Source organism: Homo sapiens, chromosome 7 (assembly GCF_000001405.40).
Source record: "Homo sapiens chromosome 7, GRCh38.p14 Primary Assembly".
Classification (NCBI taxonomy): domain Eukaryota; kingdom Metazoa; phylum Chordata; class Mammalia; order Primates; family Hominidae; genus Homo; species Homo sapiens.
In genome coordinates, this window is record NC_000007.14 from 16,365,989 (window position 1) to 16,389,184 (window position 23,196).

A 23,196-nucleotide genomic window follows, 5' to 3' on the forward strand; every position below is an offset into this window, starting at 1 on the left:
CAAAATATCTCAGACTGCATAGTTTATAAAAAGAATTTATTGCTCATAATTCGAGAGGCTGGGAAGTCCAAGATCAAGGCTTCAGACCCTGTGTTTGATGAGGACCCATTCCTGATAGATAGCACCTTCTTGTTGCATCATCACTTGGCAGAAGGGGCAAACAAGCTCCCTCAGGCCTCTTTTCTAAGTGTACTAATCTCATTCATAAAGGCAGAGCCGTCATGATCTAATCACCTCCCAAAGGTGCCACCTCTCAATACTATCACCTTGGTGGTTAGGTTTCAACAGGAATTTTAGGGGAAACACAGACGTTCAGACCATAGCAATAAGTAACACAAACATGAACAAACATACAAAGCTGCATCCTCACTAGCAATGTAGTTCAATTAAAACACAAATCAATATACAGCCATCAAATTGACAAAAGCTAGAAAATTAAAGATCATTAAAAGCTACAGAAGATGTGGCTGAAACTATAACCACTGCTAACCTTATATAACTATATTTATTAGTCTTATAGAAACTCACAGAAACTTACAGAACTAGAATCACTTCTAAACTGCCATACATATGAACTGAAAACAGATAAAAGTAATTTATGCTTTTAGGCTAATGGTTGAGAATGAAATTTCTGGGGATAGCAAAGAGTATACTCAAAGAAGATCCCAGCCAAGTCACCAGATCATTTTTTCTACAGCTCTTCATAATTTTTCCAAAATGGAACCAAAGAAAATGACATGACTATATGAACCTACCTAGTAGAATAATTGAGAGAATTAAAAAAAAAAAGGCAAGAGGGAGAAAAATAAAAAAAAAAAAACATGGGAAATATGACAAATAGGAAGACGCATGACCGTGAAGAGATAAACACTTTCCAAGTCCATCACCAAGATTGTCAATTTACTTCCTCTGATGAAATACCATAAACATATAGATCATGTTTTCATTAATAACTGCGATGTGCCACTTTGGTACTGTGGTTTGCAACTGACTTGTGTAAGAAACAATGGTTTGCAAATACTTTCACTAAAGTAACAAGTCAGCTCTTTCTGACTCAAAGCTTCATCTTTAAATCCCTACTCATTTCTCTTTATAAATCATTTTTCTTCATATGTTCTTTCACTCACCCTCCTGAGGATCTTTTCATTCCTTGCCCCTTTCCTCAAATCTCCATTTGTCAAAATTTAAAAAAAAAACTTATGCCTTCTTATCTCTTTCTACTATACCCCTTGCTCCCTGTGCCCACTGTGCCCCCTATCCTAAAACTCAATGTGACATGAGGTTTCCCCTGAGGCTCTTCCTTATCTGCAAATCCAATCCAGGCACAACCGAACAACTAAGCAAAAACAGCCAGGGAGGAAGGCAGGAAAGGAGAAGAAATGGGGAACTACACTGTAAAAACTGAAATAAAACTTCTGAGAGTTGTAATGCTTGGTGAATATAAAGAAAAGACACTTCATAAAATTTCATCTTTTTGACTTGTTCCTGTTAACTCAGTATTTAAAACCCAAACTTGTTGACAGTACGAGATACAAGTCTTATTTATTCTAGCATGTGGGGTACATTGGTGAATATAAAGAAAAGACACTTCATAAAATTTCATCTTTTTGACTTGTTCCTGTTAACTCAGTATTTAAAGCCCAAACTTGTTGACAGTACGAGATACAAGTCTTATTTATTCTAGCATGTGGGGTACAGGCAGGCTATGAATTATGAATGGGAATTCCTGTCATATTTCTTTAATTTTATAGCTATTATATTCAGCTACCCACAGATAAGCGACGGGAATCTTTAAAAATGCGGGGAGGGGTTGTTTCAATTAAGTTAAACAGGCACTTAAAAAATACACCTTCTCAATCTCCATTATAAGATTAACACTTAAATATTACATGTCTCCATCGTCAAGTCTAAGAAATCAAAGCAAAAGGTACATAATTAACACCCCAGAGACTGATTCTGTCACTGGCTGAATCCTGCTGTATCTTTCATGAATTTTCATTCAAACCTAATTGACAAATTACCTTCTAAAATTCTCTATGTACAAAAACCTTGTGTTAGAATCAAGGCCAGGTCTCTGAACAATAAAATTCAGAATACCATCTGTGAGCATAACACCAATTTTCACAGGAAATGAATTTTAAAAAGCTTCTTTGTATAATAATTTATTATTTTTCCTCAAATTGCACAGAAAAGAATTTCACATTTGAAGATTCAATAAGAATCCACTGGACCAATCCGTGGGCTTTTCTTCATGTTCCTGAAGATCGCATAGTTTCCACTCTTGAAATTTGTATTATTCTTTTGTTATTTTCTTTAGAAATATTTTCCTTTAGCAAACTCCTAATGTGTCAGTAAAAATTCTCAAGGATGAAATAGTTTTCGTCTCCAATCTTAATAAAATAAAACTGAACAAATACCTAGTTACATGGAAAAGCCCAAGATTCTTTGAAAACAAACACATACGAATTTATGTATCTTAAGTAAAATACAATAGATTTTGACTTTTAAATTATCAATCCAGACATTGGCACTAGTAGCATTTTGGTTTTCACAAGTGCCATCAACCTTTCTGATTTTGTGTGTGCACTTACACTTACAAACAGGCATATATAGATTTTATATAGTTGTTATTACAACTTTATATATTAGTTTCTCAGTAACACTCTAACATCAACAATTTCATGATCAAATTCTGCAAAAATAATTTTTAGTGACCCTTTAAAGCTTCTATTAATAAATGTCACAATTTTATTGATCTCTAGAAATAAAGGTTCAGTAAAAATGACCACACTTATAAAAATGCTGCAAATCACCAACCTTACACACGGATCTTTGCCCATACTTCCAATAATTTTTCAGATGAATTTCTTAGAGATTTAAGGGGATTTCATTAATGTGTATGTACTTAATATATGCACATATATAACTCACATCAAATCTGTTTATATAACTGGCATTAGTGTTAACATATAAAATATGTGTCTACATATATGTATACACATGAAATTCATCCAGCAATATTTAAGAACCTAATCCATGCCATAAACTCTTCTAGGTGCTAGAAATGAGACTGAACAAGACAAAGTCCCTGTGTAGCAGGAAGAGCCACAGACAAAACCTCTCAGACACCAAGTTGTAGAAGGAAGGGCTTTATTCAGCTGGGAGCATCGGCAAGCTACTGCCTTAAAATCTGAGCTCCCCGAGTGCACAATTTCTGTTCATTTTAAGGGCTCCCAACACTAAAGATTTCACATGAAAGGGTCGTGACTGATTTGAGCAAGCAGGGGGTACATGACAGGGGCTGCATGCACTGGTGGTCAGAGAGAAACAGAACAGGGCAGGGAGTTTCACAATGTTCTTCTATACAATGTCTGGAATCTATGAATAACATTGGTTTCTAAGTTATGAGTTGATTTTTAACTACTGGGTTTAAGCCAGGCAGGCCCAGGCCTGGTTTCGGGCCTGGCACCAGGCTGCCTGTCTTTGGTTTTACTTCCTTGTTGTTTTTTCTTAAAACAGGTACTGAGTATAAAACAGTATAAAATAATATGAGACGGTCTTTCTCTTCCTTCACCTGCCCTCACAGAACTGAGGTTTTAATAGGAAAGATACACACCAAAAAAGATATATCAGGTAGTGATATCTAATAAGCAAAACTAAAGCAGAACAAAATAAGTATGATCTTTTTTTTGCCCCCAAGATGGCAGATAGCAGGCAGTATTAGCGTGACTAGCTCACTTGGAAGGACAGAATAGGGGGTAGAGATTCACATTGTGATTTTTTTTTCCCCCAAGAACCACAATAGGAACTTAACAGGAAAAATACAAAAGAATCCACAGACCCTTTGAAAGAAGTGGCAGGCTGCAGCCTACTCTGTGAAGACAGATGAAAAACTCTAAATGTCCAGAATGTGAGAGGGGGAAAGTCTGCCTCCAATCATACATCCCCACTGGGGAATCTGAAAATCCAAACCACAGCAGAAGCTCTTAACCCTACCCAGAGCTGGACTGGATTTAGGGAGTGGTGTGAAATATAAAAGTGGAAGCAACAGCAGGAAGTCCCTTGCAGGCACTCCCAGTCTCCAGCACTAGCCAAGGGAAGCCATTCCTGACTATATTTCAGAGAAGCCCTCAGGGAAGTTAGCCAATGAACTCAGGGAGGGGTTGCAGGGTGAAAGAAGCTCACAACTGAATTCTGTGATATAATCTCAAGTGGGGATAAACTCCCTTGAACAGAACCCAAGGGTAAGCTGGAAGTGTGCCACAGATAGGAGTGCAGGATCTGGGTGCCCAGCCTTGTGGGGAGATGGGGAGGGACATGGCCTGAAAGCCATAGTTGCTATTTCTGCAGGGAAATAAGCCAATGTACAACCAAGGAATCTCAGAGTCTGTGTCAGTCCCCTGCCACCTCCATCAGAGCTGAACCCACTGCTGGGAGACTTGAATACATCATTGGATCCCTTGCAGACATTCCCCAGCACCAGTCCAGAGTCTGGTAGCCCCACTGGGTGGCTAGACCCAGAAGAGCAATATCACTGCAGTCTAGCACTCAGGAAGTCCCATTCCTAGGGAAAGGGAGAGGGCACTACATCAAGGAAACACCCTGTGGGACAAGAGAATCTAAACAACAGGCCTCGAGTCCCAGATCTTTCCGCTGGTGGGAAGTTTCTTACAGCAGAGACATAATTGCAGTGCTGTGCAGTAGGGAAAGTCTGCACCTCTACACCAACAGGCAGGCAGCCTCTGTAATCATGAAGGGTTTTGGAGAAGGGGTCCTTGTCCTCTGCCCTCCCCCACCTGCCACCCCATACACCACACTGCAGACACAGCTGAGGCTTCTCCCACAGGAATGCAGTGTGAGTGCACCTACCAACAGCCTTCCTGGAACAATTCAGGGTGATTGCACTCCCACAGAAGGGGCACTCCTGGATTCAGGCTTGCATGAGAGGCAGAGTCACAATTCCTCCCTACTTGGAACATCAACATTCCTACAGATGAAAAGAGCTGCCTGTTTGATATGAATAGCCAGAACACTGGAACAGGAGTGAGGCTATGAGGTAGATCGCTTTCCTGCTGGCCTGGCAGGGGAGCTGAGGTAGCTCCCACCCTTCATCTAATAAATCTTCAGCATGTCTAATTGAGAGCTCCCCCAGCCACCTTTATCAAGGCTAGGACCTCTGCCCACCATTGAGTATTACATCTACTCACTTGCCTTAGCTACAACTGGTACCTACCAAAGGATACCTCCCTATTGACCTGAAGCCTGAATCAACTCAGTAAATAAAATACTGGAGAAAAATTAAACTGTATACCACAACAGAATGAGATAAGCTTCAAGAGATTCCTGCCATTCAAACCCCATAGGAGACATTCAACTTGCCCACACACCAAGTACCCAACTCCTACAATCAGCATCTGGGAAAGCCAGTGCACAAAGATCCTCTATAACTCAGGAACTCATGCAGCATCTTCTCCCCTAAAAGCACCAAAAATCAAATTAGGCTGTAATAAACATTAAAGTCAGATCCTTGAAAGGGGAAAAAAATAAATTAAAAAAAAACCCACAGTCCAATCAAAAAATAAATTCAAGAACAATTTGAAGAAATAGTCTACCCAAATAAGAAAGAATCAGAAAAGTAATTCTGGCAGTATGACAAAACAGGGTTCTATAACAACCTATAAAAGAACACACTAGATCCCAAGCAATGGATACAAACCAAGATGAAATCTCTGAAATGCCAGATATAAGAATTCAGAAAGTTGATTATTAAGCTATTCAAGGAGATACCAGAGAAAGGTGAAAAACAACTTAAAGACTTTTTTTAAATCTATGATATAAATGAAAAAAATTCCAGAGAAATAGATATCATAATGAAAAAACAATCAGAACTTCTGAAAAGGAAAGACACACCTAGGGAAATACAAAATGCAGTGGAAAGTTTCAACAACAGACTAGAAGACGCAGAAGAAAGAATTTCAGAGCTTGAAGACAAAGCTTTTGAATTAACCCAATCAGACGAAGTAAAAAAAAAATTTTAAAAAAAGAACAAAGTCTCCAAGAAATATTGGATTACCAACCTAAGAATAATTGGTGTGCCTGAGGGAGAAATGAAGTCTAAGAGTTTGGAAAACTTATTTGAGGAAATAATTGAGGAAAACTTCCTAACCTTGCTAGAGATCTAGACATCCAAATACAAGCAGCTCAAAAAACTCCTGGGAAATTCATTGCAAAAAGACCATCACCAAGGCACATAGTCATCAGGCTATCTAACGTCAAGACAAATGAAAGAAATGTTAAGAGCTATGAGAGAAAAGCATCAGGTAACCTACAAAGGAAAACCTATTAGACTAACAGCAGATTTCTCAGCAGAAACCTTACATGCCAGAGGGATTGGGGTCCTATCTTTAGCCTCCTGAAACAAATAATTGTCAGCCAAGAATTTTCTATTCAGCCAAACTAAGCTTCATAAATGAAGGAGAGATAAAATCTTTTTCACACAAACAAATGCTGAGAAAATTTGCCACTACCAAACCAGCACTACAAGAAATGCTAAAATGAGTTCTAAATCTTGAAACAAAAGCTTGATATATCACAATCGAACCTCCTCCACATAAACCTCACAGGGTCTATAAAACAATAACATAATGAAAAAAAGGACCTAGGTAAGAGCTAACATGATAAATAGAACAGTACCTCACATCTCAATAGTAACATTGAATGTAAATGGCCTATATGCTGTATTAAAAGACACAGAATGGCAGAATGGATAAAGCCAACCAAGTATCTGCTGTCTTCAGGAGACTTACCTAACACATAAGGACTCTCACATAAACTTAAGGTAAAGAGGTGGAAAAATACATTGCAAGCAAACCAAATGGAAACCAAAAGTGGGCAGGAGTAGTGATCCTTATACCAGAAAAAGGGATACATGATAGATGCTGCTACTTTAAGATTATAAGATTATCAGGTAAGACTTCTTTGAGGAGGTGATGTTTGCTACAGACCTCAATAGAGAGTGGAAATAAGCCAAGTGTGGTGGCTCATGCCTGTAATCCCAACACTTTGGGAGGCCAACGCAGACGGTTCACCTGAGGTCAGAAGTTTGAGACCAGCCTGGCCAACATGGTGAAACCCCATCTTTACTAAAAATACAAAAAATTAGCCCGGCATGGTGGCGGGCACCTGTAATCCCAGCTATTTGGGAGGCTGAGGCAGGAGAATCGCTTGAACCCAGGAGGCAGATGTTGCAGTGAGCCAAGACTGTACCATTGCAGTCTAGCCTGGGCAACAAGAGCGAAACTCCATCTCAGAAAAAAAAAAGAATAGAAATAAGCAGTTTAAGATCTGGAAAGAGTGACCTAGGCAGAGGAAGAGCAAGCATGTGGACCATTTTTAATACATTTATATGCACAGCCTTTTATGATCATTCGTTTGAACAAATATATACTTGGTGTTAGTAATATACCAGGCAGATTGCTAAGAAGAAGACAGATACCATCCCTGCCTTCACAGGGCTCACAGCCTAGCAGAGGAGTTTGACATTTCACAAATGACTTCAAGTAATTATTCAATTGTAAGTCTGATGCTGGGGAGAGATGAAAAACAGGCACTAAAAGAACACAGAACGGGTCAGCCTAACCTGGTGTGGCCAGACAGAAAAGAATTCCTTGAATAAATGATAATTACAGGATAACTAAATAATAAGCAGCAAGGTAGAAAGTAAGGTTCTAGATAGTGGGAATCTTGTATTTGAAGAATTAGAGTAAGCATGGCTAGAGCATATATAAGGGGGCAAATGAGATAAGCCAGAAGAAACAGGGAGAAGAAGCAATCCAGCCAGTCAGCATATAGAATGGCAGTTAGACATCTGTGACCTTCCAGCACCATTTGAAGAGGAAGAGTTATCTATAACCTAAAACTGCACACCTTTTATTTTGCCACATTCAACAGTGACCATGGATCAGCTTGCAGTGAGTTTCTTCTAACTGACTAACTTCATATGACACCTTGGTTACAATTGCCAGATATCTGCTTGTGATGGTTAATATTAGGTATTAACTTGATTAGATTAAAGGATGCCTAAATAGCTGGTATTGTCTCTGGATGTGTCTGTGAGGGTGTTGCCAGAGGGGAGTGACATTTGAGTCGGTGGACTGGGAGAGGAAAACCCACCTTCAATGTGGGTGGGACAATTCAATTGGTTGCCAGCACAGCTAGAACGAAGCAGGCAGAAGAAGGTGGGATAAGCTGGCTTGCTAAGTCTTCTGGCTATCATCTTTCTCCTGTGCTGGATGCTTACTCCTGTTCCCTCTGCCCTTGGACATCAGACAACAGGCTCTTCAGCCTTTGAAGGCTGCACTCTCAACTTCTCTACTTTTGAGGCTTTTGGACTTGAATTGAACCACTACCAGCTTCTTTCTTCCCCAGCTTGCAGACGGCCTATTGTGGGACTTCACCTTGTAACTGTGTGAGCCAATTCTCCCTAATAAATTCTCTTTCATATACACATATATCCTATTAGTTCTGTTCCTCTGGAGAACCCTAATGCACTGCTCAGCTCCCAAATGGTCAACACTATTATGTATTTTCTGCATGCATTCCTCAAAAGGGACAAATTCCAAGTCTTCTCATCACATCTACCAGTCTATCTGCATCTTTCTTCACCTACTCTTTCCTCCTGTCCCCATGGATGAACTATCCATATTCCCAGCCAAGGTCAACTTCAATACCACTAATGCAGTAGGTCCCATCCACTCTCACTTTACCACTGTCTTCTCACTGTGGAATCACCCCCATCAGCATAACAGTGTGCTGTTTTATCATCCACCTGAAAAAAAAATCAAACTTAATCTATAACTATTCAGCTACCTCCTCCCATTTCTCTACTCAATATGTATAAAAGTTCCTCCAAAAATCAGCCCTTCTATTCTTAGATCAATTCCAACAAGATTTTCATATCCACCACTCCCATCAAACACTGGTAATCTCACATTTCAAATGTTGATGTACAGTTCTCAGTCCTCACTTTTTAGAAATCCTAGGCAACATTTAACAGAATGGCAATTAGACATCTGTGACCTTCCAGTACCATTTGAAGAGGAAAAGTTATCTATAACCTAAAACTGCACACCTCCTTTTACTTTGCCATGTTCTACGATGACCATGGATCAGCTTGTATCTGATTCAGCTCAATCAGAAAGTACTTTCTGCATTAAGTTTCTGGGATACTACCCTCTAATCCTTATGGCCACTCTTCTATCCCCTTACCTAATTCTTCCTCACCTCCTATAGCAAGTTGACTAAAGCACTAGATTAGTTGCTCAAACTTATCATCATTGGGAAGTTTCTGACAAGCTCAATATCTGATATTCAATAACTATTTACTCAATGTGCAAACAAATGACAATAAAATTATGTAAGTACAGCAGCATTTCCAAAACATGAAAACCAGAAGCAATCCAGTAATATTAAAGAAATTACTTGATTTTTAAGTTACTTACTTTTAACTAAAATTTTGATTAACAAAATGTCTAAGGAGCTGTATAGATAACTTACCATAGTACATCTGAGACTGCTGTTCTTAAAAAGACTGGCTTATAAGACAGGCCCTCAGCCAGCATCTGAGAATTAACTGACAAGGGCAAGTCAGTGTGCCTGCCTAGACTGTTGGTATCAACAATATGATTTATGCTGAACACCAACTTTCCTTCTGGAAATCTGGAATTTTTGTATGTGCCAAGCAGAGGATATCCAGATGACCAATCGAACACCCTGGGCATTGTATCTCTAACAGCCCTCCCTGGGCATAAATGTCACACACAATTTGCTGAATTTTCACTGCTGGAAGGAAGGTGTGCTTTGCATGATCCTTCAGGAGAGGGAGGGAAAAGAGCATCTAGAAGCCTGCAAACGGATCCTCAACATTCTGCCTGCATCTCTCTCTTCTGATCCAGCTCTATAACCTTAATACTTCATTGTAATAAGTCTTAGCCTTGAGTATAACTATACGCTCAGTCCCATCAGTTCTGGAAATTCTCCAAATGTGGAGGTTGTTTGGGGAACCTGACATAACAGCAGCTTATTCAAAAAGCCCAAATTCTTACCTGCTGATATGCTTCATAAATCACATCAAATAGAAAAGCTTGGGGCATTTCACTTGCTCTGTGTCTGGCACGTTCTAGCGAGTAGTCTAAGCAACCATCAGCAGATGGACTGACGACAGTAGATACAAGAGGTCGAATGGCTCCTGCTGCCTGAAGAACAAAGAGGCAAAGAATATATTTCACCTACAAGCCATTTTAAAGTGAAATTCTGAATTCAGTATCTCACTTTTGACAGATCTTATTCATACCTTCAACAAGCTACCTTAAGAAAACATCTGAGTAAGTGTGATTGGTTCAAAAATGGTTATTTCAGGTAAAAAAAATCAATTTTGTAGTATTACAGTTCCATACATTAAGGTGAAATTTTCCTTCATTATAAGTTCAAAATCCTTCTGATCACAGGCCATTGAAGTCAACACTAAAAAAAAAGATGCTAAGATCCAATTGGGTGTTCCCTAAAGATGAAGGAGGCAGAGAAAGACTATCATGAAATAATTGATATGGATTGCAAATTAATATTAGTATACCCTCAGGAGAGTTACATATTAGATACTTAAGGAAATAAACAAGTTCTCCAAGATCCCCTAGATGAGACTCAATAACCCAAACAATGTGGGTTGCTCTAATTTGTGTCTTGCTCTAATTCACAAGGAAAAACAGTTCCTGTCAAACACAGTCTCCATGCAATGCTTCCTCAGGCAATACCCATTGACTTCAATTGCTATGATGAAAGTTCTCTCAATAATAGTTGCATCTGAACTTTAGAAGAGACATTTCATGTCTGACAATTTTTCCCTTTATCTTTTTTGGAGTCCCATTGTAAGACAGTTTTGAAGGCCATTACCAGAAGAACTGCCTTAGTGAAACCGCTTTAAAATATAGTTCAATGGTGGGCAGTTAACCAAACCTTATATTTACTCCAAAACATCCTTTCTTCCACACAATTGCTACATGGGGATGATTGCAGCATATGAAATTAGTGCACAAGTAAAACAAATGTCTTCTTGATGAGACCAACATCTGAACAAGATAGATAGTCCACACATTGGTTTGCAAAAGCCAAGGGACTGGCTGAAAATCAAAGCAAATGTATGAGCCAAAGAGACGGTTTATAAATTGTGTCACACCTTCCAGTGCCTCAAGCAGAAATTTGGAACCTAGGCATAAAAACAAAAATGAGGACACAGGGTGACAAAGAGGAAGTAGTATCCAAATAGGTGAAGGGTAGGTCAACTGGTCAAGCCCAGTACCTATCAGTAGAGCTAGAAGATAAGACAGGAAGGAAATGCATGTACACACAAACATGCATGCTGCTTTAAGAAAAAAGATTCCACTGAAACTACGTATATTTTTGGAATTCTATATCAGGGCATGAAGTTAAAAAATACTTAAGAGAACATGAGACATCCAAAATGCCAATGCAAGGAGCTCTGCAGACTCCGTCCTCATTGAAACTAGTGAAAAGTATTTTAAGAACCATTAAAAGCCTCTGAAAATTGTCCTAAGGACATTCAGCAAATGAAGAAACATTTATTCCAGAAAATCTACTACATTTTGGTAAGAACAGACTCTGTAGTACTCAAGCCGTGACCCGTTTCTTCTTCTATACTCCAGCCAGCTCAGTGTAATGGATGCTCTACTCAGAGTAGGTATGGCTAAAAAGATACGGCCCCCTCACCCCAAGTTCCCAGTATGAAGGGCAGACTGCCAGCATTTCCTATGCCCCTCAGCACTATGGCACAGAGGCTAAAATCTATGCAAGTGTGGACACGAGGTTGAGGCCCACCTCTTTCACATAGTTCCCACCCATGCCCCAGAATACTGGGGCCCTGATCACTCTTTTTCCAGCTCACACATACGGCAGTTTTCATACCAGGGGAAATAAAAGACCAGAGTCTTCTACTGCCCTCATGTAGATCACAGAGTAGGGAGTTTACTCCAAAAAAAATAGTGCACTGTGCCCACCCACAGTTTTAAAGCAGTGATGTGGTGATTTTTCCTTTTTTTTTAATTTTTTTAAATTTTATTATTATTATACTTTAAGTTTTAGAGTACATGTGCACAATGTGCAGGTTAGTTACATACGTATACATGTGCCATGCTGGTGCGCTGTACCCATTAACTTGTTATTTAGCATTAGGTATATCTCCTAATGCTATCCCTCCCCCCTCCCCCCACCCCACAACAGACCCCAGAGTGTGATGTTCCCCTTCCTGTGTCCATGTGTTCCCATTGTTCAATTCCCACCTATGAGTGAGAACATGCGGTGTTTGGTTTTTTGTACTTGCGATAGTTTACTGAGAATGATGATTTCCAATTTCATCCATGTCCCTACAAAGGACATGAACTCATCATTTTTTATGGCTGCATAGTATTCTATGGTGTATATGTGCCACATTTTCTTAATCCAGTCTATCATTGTTGGACATTTGGGTTGGTTCCAAGTATTTGCTATTGTGAATAGTGCCACAATAAACATATGTGTGCATGTGTCTTTAGAGCAGCATGATTTATAGTCCTTTGGGTATATACCCAGTAATGGGATGGCTGGGTCAAATGGTATTTCTAGTTCTAGATCCCTGAGGAATCGCCACACTGACTTCCACAATGGTTGAACTAGTTTACAGTCCCACCAACAGTGTAAAAGTGTTCCTATTTCTCCACATCCTCTCCAGCACCTGTTGTTTCCTGACTTTTTAATGATTGCCATTCTAACTTGTGTGAGATGGTATCTCACTGTGGTTTTGATTTGCATTTCTCTGATGGCCAGTGATGGTGAGCATTTTTTCATGTGTTTTTTGGCTGCATAAACGTCTTCTTTTGAGAAGTGTCTGTTCATCTCCTTCACCCACTTTTTGATGGGGTTGTTTTTTTCTTGTAAATTTGTTTGAGTTCATTGTAGATTCTGGATATTAGCCCTTTGTCAGATGAGTAGGTTGCGAAAATTTTCTCACATTTTGTAGGTTGCCTGTTCGCTCTGATGGTAGTTTCTTTTGCTGTGCAGAAGCTCTTTAGTTTAATTAGATCCCATTTGTCAATTCTGGCCTTTGTTGCCATTGCTTTTGGTGTTTTAGACATGAAGTTCTTGCCCATGCCTATGTCCTGAATGGTAATGCCTAGGTTTTCTTCTAGGGTTTTTATGGTTTTAGGTCTAACGTTTAAGTCTTTAATCCATCTTGAATTAATTTGTCAAAGATCAGATAGTTGTAGATATGTGGCATTATTTCTGAGGGCTCTGTTCTGTTCCATTGATCTATATCTCTGTTTCGGTACCAGTACCATGCTGTTTTGGTTACTGTAGCCTTGTAGTATAGTTTGAAGTCAGGTAGTGTGATGCTTCCAGCTTTGTTCTTTTGGCTTAGGATTGACTTGGCAATGTGGGCTCTTTTTTGGTTCCACATGAACTTTAAAGTAGTTTTTTCCAATTCTATGAAGAAAGTCATTGGTAGCTTGATGGGGATGGCATTGAATCTATAAATTACCTTGGGCAGTACGGCCATTTTCACAATATTGATTCCTCCTACCCATGAGCATGGAATGTTCTTCCATTTCTTTGTATCCTCTTTTATTTCATTGAGCAGTGGTTTGTAGTTCTCCTTGAAGAGGTCCTTCACATCCCTTGTAAGTTGGATTCCTAGGTATTTTATTCCTTTGAAGCAATTGTGAATGGGAGTTCACTCATGATTTGGCTCTCTGTTTGTCTGTTATTGATGTATAAGAATGCTTGTGATTTTTGTACATTGATTTTATATCCCGAGACTTTGCTGAAGTTGCTTATCACCTTAAGGAGATTTTGGGCTGAGACAATGGGGTTTTCTAGATATACAATCATGTCATCTGCAAACAGGGACAATTTGACTTCCTCTTTTCCCAACTGAATACCCTTTATTTCCTTCTCCTGCCTAATTGCCCTGGCCAGAACTTCCAACACTACGTTGAATAGGAGTGGTGAGAGAGGGCATCCCTGTCTTGTGCCAGTTTTCAAAGGGAATGCTTCCAGTTTTTGCCCATTCAGTATGATATTGGCTGTGGGTTTGTCAAAGACAGCTCTTATTATTTTGAGATACGTCCCATCAATACCTAATTTATTGAGAGTTTTTAGCATGAAGAGTTGCTGAATTTTGTCAAAGGCCTTTTCTGCATCTATTGAGATAATCATGTGGTTTTTGTCTTTGGCTCTGTTTATATGCTGGATTACATTTATTGATTTGCGTATATTGAACCAGCCTTGCATCCCAGGGATGAAGCCCACTTGATCATGGTGGATAAGCTTTTTGATGTGCTGCTGGATTCAGTTTGCCGGTATTTTATTGAGGATTTTTGCATCAATGTTCATCAAGGATATTGGTCTAAAATTCTCTTTTTTAGTTGTGTCTCTGCCCGGCTTTGGTATCAGAATGATGCTGGCCTCATAAAATGAGTTAGGGAGGATTCCCTCTTTTTCTATTGATTGGAGTAGTTTCAGAAGGAATGGTACCAGTTCTTCCTTGTACCTCTGGTAGAATTCGGCTGTGAATCCATCTGGTCCTGGACTCTTTTTGATTGGTAAGCTATTGATTATTGCCACAATTTCAGAGCCTGTTATTGGTCTACTCAGCGATTCAACTTCTTCCTGGTTTAGACTTGGGAGGGTGTATGTGTCGAGGAATTTATCCATTTCTTCTAGATTTTCTAGTTTATTTTCCTAGAGGTGTTTGAGGTATTCTCTGATGGTAGTTCGTATTTCTGTGGGATCAGTGGTGATATCCCCTTTATCATTTTTCATTGTGTCTATTTGATTCTTCTCTCTTTTCTTCTTTATTAGTCTTGCTAGCGGTCTATCAATTTTGTTGATCCTTTCAAAAAACCAGCTCCTGGATTCATTAATTTTTTGAAGGGTTTTTTGTGTCTCTATTTCCTTCAGTTCTGCTCTGATTTTAGTTATTTCTTGCCTTCTGCTAGCTTTTGAATGTGTTTGCTCTTGCTTTTCTAGTTCTTTTAATTGTGATGTTAGGGTGTCAATTTTGGATCTTTCCTGCTTTCTCTTGTGGGCATTTAGTGCTATAAATTTCCCTCTACACACTGCTTTGAATGAGTCCCACAGATTCCGGTATGTTGTTTCATTGTTCTGGTTGGTTTCAAAGAACATCTTTATTTCTGCCTTCATTTCGTTATGTATCCAGTAGTCATTCCGGAGCAGGTTGTTCAGTTTCCATGTAGTTGAGTGGTTTTGAGTGAGTTTCTTAATCCTGAGTTCTAGTTTGATTGCACTGTGGTCTGAGAGACAGTTTGTTATAATTTCTGTTCTTTTACATTTGCTGAGGAGAGCTTTACTTCCAACTATGTGGTCAATTTTGGAATAGGTTTGGTGTGGTGCTGAAAAAAATGTATATTCTGTTGATTTGGGGTGGAGAGTTCTGTAGATGTCTATTAGGTCCGCTTGGTGCAGAGCTGAGTTCAATTCCTGGGTATCCTTGTTAACTTTCTGTCTCATTGATCTGTCTAATGTTGACAGTGGGGTGTTAAAGTCTCCCATTATTATTGTGTGGGAGTCTAAGTCTCTTTGTAGGTCACTCAGGACTTGCTTTATGAATCTGGGTGCTCCTGTATTGGGTGCATATATATTTAGGATAGTTAGCTCTTCTAGTTGAATTGATCCCTTTACCATTATGTAATGGCCTTCTTTGTCTCTTTCGATCTTTGTTGGTTTAAAGTCTGTTTTATCAGAGACTAGGATTGCAACCCCTGCCTTTTTTTGTTTTCCATTTGCTTGGTAAATCTTTCTCCATCCTTTTATTTTGAGCCTATGTGTGTCTCTGCACATGAGATGGGTTTCCTGAATACAGTGCACTGATGGGTCTTCACTCTTTATCCAATTTGCCAGTCTGTGTCTTTTAACTGGAGCATTTAGTCCATTTACATTTAAAGTTAATATTGTTATGTGTGAATTTGATCCTGTCATGATGATGTTAGCTGGTGATTTTGCTCGTTAGTTGATGCAGTTTCTTCCTAGCCTTGATGGTCTTTATAATTTGGCATGATTTTGCAGTGGCTGGTACCGGTTGTTCCTTTCCATGTTTAGTGCTTCCTTCAGGAGCTCTTTTAGGGCGGGCCTGGTGGTGACAAAATCTCTCAGCATTTGCTTGTCTGTAAACTATTTTATTTCTCCTTCACTTATGAAGCTTAGTTTAGCTGGATATGAAATTCTGGGTTGAAAATTCTTTTCTTTAAGAATGTTGAATATTGGCCCCCACTCTCTTCTGGCTTGTAGAGTTTCTGCTGAGAGATCCACTGTTAGTCTGATGGGCTTCCCTTTGCGGGTAACCCAACCTTTCTCTCTGGCTGCCCTTAACATTTTTTCTTTCATTTCAACTTTGGTGAATCTGACAATTATGTATCTTGGAGTTGCTCTTCTTGAGGAGTATCTTTGTGGCATTCTCTGTATTTCCTGAATCTGAACGTTGGCCTGCCTTGCTAGATTGGGGAAGTTCTCCTGGATAATATCCTGCAGAGTGTTTTCCAACTTGGTTCCATTCTCCCCGTCACTTTCAGGTACACCAATCAGACGTAGATTTGGTCTTTTCACATAGTCCCATATTTCTTGGAGGCTTTGTTCGTTTCTTTTTATTCTTTTTTCTCTAAACTTCCCTTCTGGCTTCATTTCATTCATTTCATCTTCCATCGCTGATACCCTTTCTTCCAGTTGATCGCATCGGCTCCTGAGGCTTCTGCATACTTCACGTAGTTCTCGAGCCTTGGCTTTCAGCTCCATCAGCTCCTTTAAGCACTTCTCTGTATTGGTTATTCTAGTTATACATTCGTCTAAATTTTTTTCAAAGTTTTTAACTTCTTTGCCTTTGGCTTGAATTTCCTCCTGTACCTCGGAGTAGTTTGATCATCTGAAGCCTTCTTCTCTCAACTCGTCAAAGTCATTCTCCGTCTAGCTTTGTTCCATTGCTGGTGAGGAACTGCGTTCCTTTGGAGGAGGAGAAGTGCTCTGCTTTTTAGAGTTTCCAGTTTTTCTGCTCTGTTTTTTCCCCATCTTTGTGGTTTTATCTACTTTTGGTCTTTGATGATGGTGATGTACAGATGGGTTTTTGGTGTGGATGTCCTTTCTGTTTCTTAGTTTTCCTTCTAACAGACAGGACCCTCAGCTGCAGGTCTGTTGGAGTTTGCTAGAGGTCCACTCTAGACCCTGTTTGCCTGGGTATCAGCAGCGGTGGCTGCAGAACAGCGGATTTTCATGAACCGCGAATGCTGCTGTCTGATCGTTCCTCTGGAATTTTTGTCTCAGAGGAGTACCCGGCCGTGTGAGGTGTCAGACTGCCCCTACTGGGGGGTGCCTCCCAGTTAGGCTGCTTGGGGGTCAGGGGTCAGGGACCCACTTGAGGAGGCAGTCTGCCCATTCTCAATACTCCAGCTGTGTGCTGGGAGAACCACTGCTCTCTTCAAAGCTGTCAGACAGGAACACTTAAGTCTGCAGAGGTTACTGCTGTCTTTTTGTTTGTCTGTGCCCTGCCCCCAGAGGTGGAGCCTACAGAGGCAGGCAGGCCTCCTTGAGCTGTGGTGGGCTCCACCCAGTTCGAGCTTCCAGGCTGCTTTGTTTACCTAAGCAAGCCTGGGCAATGGCAGGCGCCCCTCCCCCAGCCTCGCTGCCACCTTGCAGTTTGATCTCAGACTGCTGCGCTAGCAATCAGCGAGACTCCATGGGCGTAGGACCCTCCAAGCCATGTGCGGGATATAATCTCCTGGTGTGCCGTTTTTTAAGCCCGTCGGAAAAGCGCAGTATTAGGGTGGGAGTGACCCAATTTTCCAGGTGCCGTCTGTCACCCCTTTCTTTGACTAGGAAAGGGAACTCCCTGACCGCTTGCACTTCTCGAGTGAGGCAATGCCTCGCCCTGCTTTGGCTCGCGCACGGTGCGCTGCACTCACTGTCCTGCGCCCACTGTCTGGCACTCCCTAGTGAGATGAACCCAGTACCTCAGATGGAAATGCAGAAATCACCCGTCTTCTGCGTCACTCAGGCTGGGAGCTGTAGACCGGAGCTGTTCCTATTCAGCCATCTTGGCTGCAGCCGTGTTAGGGCCACTCATGATGCAGTTAGCCACTGGGGTTGATGTGGTGATTTTTCACAAGTAGAAGACAAAGGATGTGAGAGTAGAGAGCTATGAAGCTCTCCCAAAGGGAACTCACTTTATTTGGAAATTCAAACCTAAGTGTACTCTCAAAAGAGATCATCATGGTAAGCAATTAAAAGAATGCTGGAGATACATGAGCACAAAAAGCTAAACTGTAGGACAGTCAGTTTACCAGTGAAAGCCACGGGAAAACAAAGCCAACAAAAGCTCTCCTGGGATTAGGAACAAACCTCAAAAACTACCCCTGCAAAGGGGCTAGAATTTAACTGAGACTACAAGGGATATATGCCCAAGGCATTATCAAAAATAAAGGTGAGCAATTAGCACACAATGAGTGTAGCTTAACAGCTAGGTGAGATATCAAAGGCAGACAATATAATAGAGGTCAGGGAAGGAGACAGTCAAAGAGAGCCCCACTGAAACCTTTATCATTCTAGGATGACTATATAATACTCAAGTGTCCACCCTCTGAAAAAGCAACATCAGAAGCTTTTCCCTGTGAAAGTAAAAGACATCACTAAAATAGGCCAACCAAGTCATAAACAAATAAGCAAACAAGTCATGCATCCAAATAGGAAAGTGATATCCTCCAGGGATGGGGTGGGAGGGGAAGGGCAGGCAAGAGGAACTGCCTATGAGAAGGCCCCACCCATATATCAAACTTAGCAGATAAAGACCTCAAATCAGAATCAGCTATTATAAATACATTCAAAGAACTAGAGGAAATTACACTTAAAGCAGTAAGGCAAGGTATGACAATATCACTAATGTTAAGCAGTTTAAAAATACAGAAATTCTAGAATTGAAAAGTATAACTATAATGAACATTTATAAAGGAGCTCAGTGACAGGCTTGAACTAGAGAGGAATCAATGAACTTACACTTAGATAAATAGACGTAATACAATCCAAACAAATGAGAAAAAAAGGATGAAGATAAATGAACAGAGCCGCAGAATAAAGGACACCATTAAGTACACAACAATTTTGTATTGGGAGTACCAAAAGGAAAGATGAGAAAGAAGCAGAAAAAAAAAATTCAAGGAAATGACTGGTAACCTCACAAAATAAAGGAAAAATTAGTCTTCAAGAAGCTCAATGAAGTCCAAGTAGAAAAATCAGAAAAAAATCCACATCTAGACACATCATAGTAAAAGTGCTGAAAACCAAAGTCAAGGAAGAAAATCTTGAAAGCAGCTCAAGAAAAATGATTAGCAAGAGAACATCAATATTAACAAGTGACTTATCAGAAACAATAAAAGTTAGATGGCAGTGGGGTAATAGTCACTAATAGGAAAAATATCTCATATCCAGCAAAACCAGTATTTCACACATGAAAGCAAAATGAAAACACTTCCAAAGAAACACAGAATTTTTGCTAACAGATTCATCTTAGAAAAAAGTAGCAACAAATGTTCAGCCTGAAGGACATTTGAAGACAGTAATTCTAATTCACATTAAAAAACAAAGTGTACCAGTAAAGATAATGTAATTATAAAAGACAATATAAATGTATGTTTCTCTTTATATATTGTTTTTAAAAGCAATTATGGAACCTGAGAGTTCCCTGACCCCCCCTCACAGGACCTGCAACAGGAGTGTGGCTCATCTGTTTGGCTGCCATACACTCAAACCCCTTATGGGATGGGGAGCACCCAGATGGGCAGGTGCAGTAGCCAGAGCGAGCGCTTTTGGGCTCCAGCCGCACAGTAGCGTCTAGGGGTGGGTACCCATGACTCCTAAAGCCCCAGTGGGCATGCATGTTACAGTGCTCCTTTAGCTCTGCCGTCCACAGACAGCTTAAATGTTAACCAGCTCAGTGCCCTCTTGGTATCCAGGTCCCTGTCCAGTGTCCAGGAAGAATCATATCATACATGAATTTGAACGTTGGTGAATGTGGGGGTTTTACTGAGTGGTGGAGGTGGTCTCGGTAGGATGGATGGGGAGCTAAAAGAGGGATGGGGTGGGAAGATGATCTCCTGGAGTTTGGCTGTCCAGTGGTCAATCTTCTCTCTGACCACCCCCAGCTGAACTCCTCTCAACGTTCAGATGCTCTTTTTCTTCTTCTCTGCCGTGCTGTTCTGCCATTCTGCTGCTCTTTTGTCTGTCTGCTCTTCTGCTCATGGAGCCTGGGGTTTGGGGCTTATGTAGGTACAGGATAGGGAAGGTGTGGCAGGCCAAAAGGCAACATTTGGGTGTGAAAACAGGAAAGTCTGTTCCCATTTAGGACCATGAGTTTCTAGGCTTGAGGATGGGGCCTTTGCCAGTGAACTGTCTTCTTCTACCCAGTATTTCCCTGCCTCCTATCTGTATAAATTATATTGAACAATAGATACATAGATAACTGATTAGTCTATAACATATTGAACTGTGTATATTTGATGAAAACAGCAAAAAGGAGGTGGATAGGGATAAAGGTGTACTGGATTAAGGAAATGACACCAGATGGCAACTTGCACCAACAGGAACAAATTAATTAAAAATGACAGGCAAGGAAGTTAATACAACAAACTCTATAAATACATACTTGCAGCTGGGTACAGTGGCTCACACCTGTAATCCCAGCACTCTGGGAGGGAGAAGCAGGCAAATCACTTGAGATAAGGAGTTTGAGACCAGCCTGGCCAACAGGGGAAACCCTGACTCTACTAAAAATATAAAAATTAGCATGGTATGGTGGTGAATGCCTGTAGTCCCAGCTACTTGGAAGGGTGAGGCAGGAGAATCACTTGAACCCAGGAAGCAGAGGTTACAGTGAGCTGAGATTGTGCCATTACACTCCAGCCTGGGCGATAGAGACTATCTCAAAAATATTTTTAATTTAAAATAAAAAAAAGATATATATATATATATATATATATATATATATATATATATATACACACATATATATATGTATATACACACACACACACTTGCTCACTTTTCATCTTCTATAGATAGCAAAATATAAACTAATAATTATTAGGTTGGTACAAAAGTAATTGCAGTTTTTACCATTACTTTCAATGGCAAAAAATATAATGGATTGTTGGGTTTCTTACATAGATATAATATGCACAATAACAGAACAAAAAAGAGGAAAATAGAGCCATGTAATTTTTAAATATCTCACTGGAATTAAGGTAGTAAATTCTGAAGCAAATAAATGTTTGCATGTATACTGTAGGTCCTAGAGCAACCACTAGCAATGAAACTCAAAAAATTAGAAAATATAAAGGAAATAAAGTATTACAATAAAAATTTTCACTTACTACAAAAGAAAGCAATAGGAGACATGAAAAAAGTAAACTAGCAGACAAATCTAATTATATATTAAAACGAATGGATCAAAAGGCAACAACTGTCAAACTAAATTTTTTTTTAAATCTATCACATGCTGTCTACAAGAGACAACTATGATTCAAAGACACAAATAGTTTGAATTTAAAAGATGTCCAAAATACAAGCAAATATGAACAAAGCTGAAGAAATAAACAATCCAACAATATTTGGAAACATCAATATTCTACTTTCGATAGTGGCTAGAACTAGGCAGATCAACATGGAAACAAAAGACTTGAAAAATACTATAAACCAAATAAAACTAACAGACATCTATTAAACATACCACCCAACAACAGCAGAATACCTATTTGAAGTGCACATAGAACATTCTCTAGAACAGACCATATGCTGGACCATAAAACAAGTTATAAGAGGATCAAAATCATACCAAGTATAGTCTCTTAGAATAGAATAAAATTAGACACAAAGTTGGAAACTAATTTATTCTTTTCTTTCTTTGTTGGGGGAGGCAAGGTCTTGCTCTGTCCCCCCAGGCTGGAGTCCGGTAGCACAATCACAGCTCACTACTGCTTCAGCCTCCTGGGCTCAAGCAACCTGCCAGCCTCAGCCTCCCAAGTAGCTGGGACTACAGGCATGTGCCACCCCACCTAGCTAATATTTGATAGAGACAGGGTTTCACTATGTTGCCCAGGCTGGTCTCAAACTCCTGGGTTCAAGCAATCTGCCTGCCTTGGAGTCCCCAAGTGGGCATGGAGCAACCATGCCCAGCCAAAGTTGGGAATTTAAAGTATGTGGAAAATTAATACTAAAAAAAAAAATGAGCCAAAGAAACCACTAGCAAACTTGAAAATACTTTTAAATGAAAACACAAACAATATGAAAATGTATGGGGTACAGCTAAAGCAGCCCTTTGAGGAAAATGTATAACTGTAAATGCCTATATAAAAAGATTCTAGACAAGTGTAATTTTTCACCTTAAGACACTGGGGGAAAGAAGAACTAAAATTAAAACAGACAAAGAGTAAACAAAAGAAATAAATTAGAGAATAGAAAAAGAAAAAAAGCCAAATATGGTTCTCTTATAAAATAACAGTTGAGGCTGGGCGTGGTGGCTCATGCCTGTAATCCCAGCACTTTGGGAGGCCAAGGCAGGTGGATCACTTGAGGTCAGGAGTTTGAGACCAGCCTGGCCAACATGGTGAAATCCTGTCTCTACTAAAAATACAAAAAATTAGCCAGGCATGGTGGTGCATGGCTGTAATCCCAGTTACTCGGGAGGGTGAGGCAGGGGAATCACTTGAACCCAAGAGGCAATGGATGCAGTGAGCTGAGATGGCGCCACTGCACTCCAGCCTGGGCGACAGAGCAAGACTCCATCTCAAACCAACAAAAACAGTTCACAACCTTTGACGAAAAAAAAAGGCAAATTAATAAAATCGGAAGGTAGTGACATTTCTATCAACCTCAGAGAAATAAAAAGGAACATAAAACTACAAACTATATTCCAGCAAATTAGAAAAGTGATAAAATTAACATATTCCTAGAAAGACAATTAACCAAAATTAACTTGATAACAGAAAGTCTGAATAGACCTATAAAAAGGGAATTGAATTAGTAATTTAGAAATTTTTCACAAAGAAAAGCCAAGATCCAGAAGGCTCCACTGATGAACTATGCCAAAAATTTAAA

The 23,196-nt window shown here is 39.9% G+C and overlaps 1 protein-coding gene across 4 annotated transcripts in view; it reads right to left on the reverse strand.

Moving 5' to 3' along the window:
• The window catches only part of CRPPA (CDP-L-ribitol pyrophosphorylase A), a 334,014-nt gene that overhangs the window by 278,464 nt on the left and 32,354 nt on the right, over positions 1-23,196 (reverse strand). For 3 of the 4 annotated variants that reach the window (NR_160656.1, NM_001368197.1, NM_001101426.4), the window contains exon 3: positions 10,104-10,253. The exons of the other annotated variant lie outside the window; for it this stretch is intronic. Coding sequence is in view for 2 of the 3 variants with exons in the window: in NM_001368197.1 (NP_001355126.1) it covers positions 10,104-10,253 (150 nt within the window). In the remaining variant the exon portion in view is untranslated. The remainder of the gene's footprint in view (positions 1-10,103; positions 10,254-23,196) is intronic. 4 annotated transcript variants of the gene reach the window in all.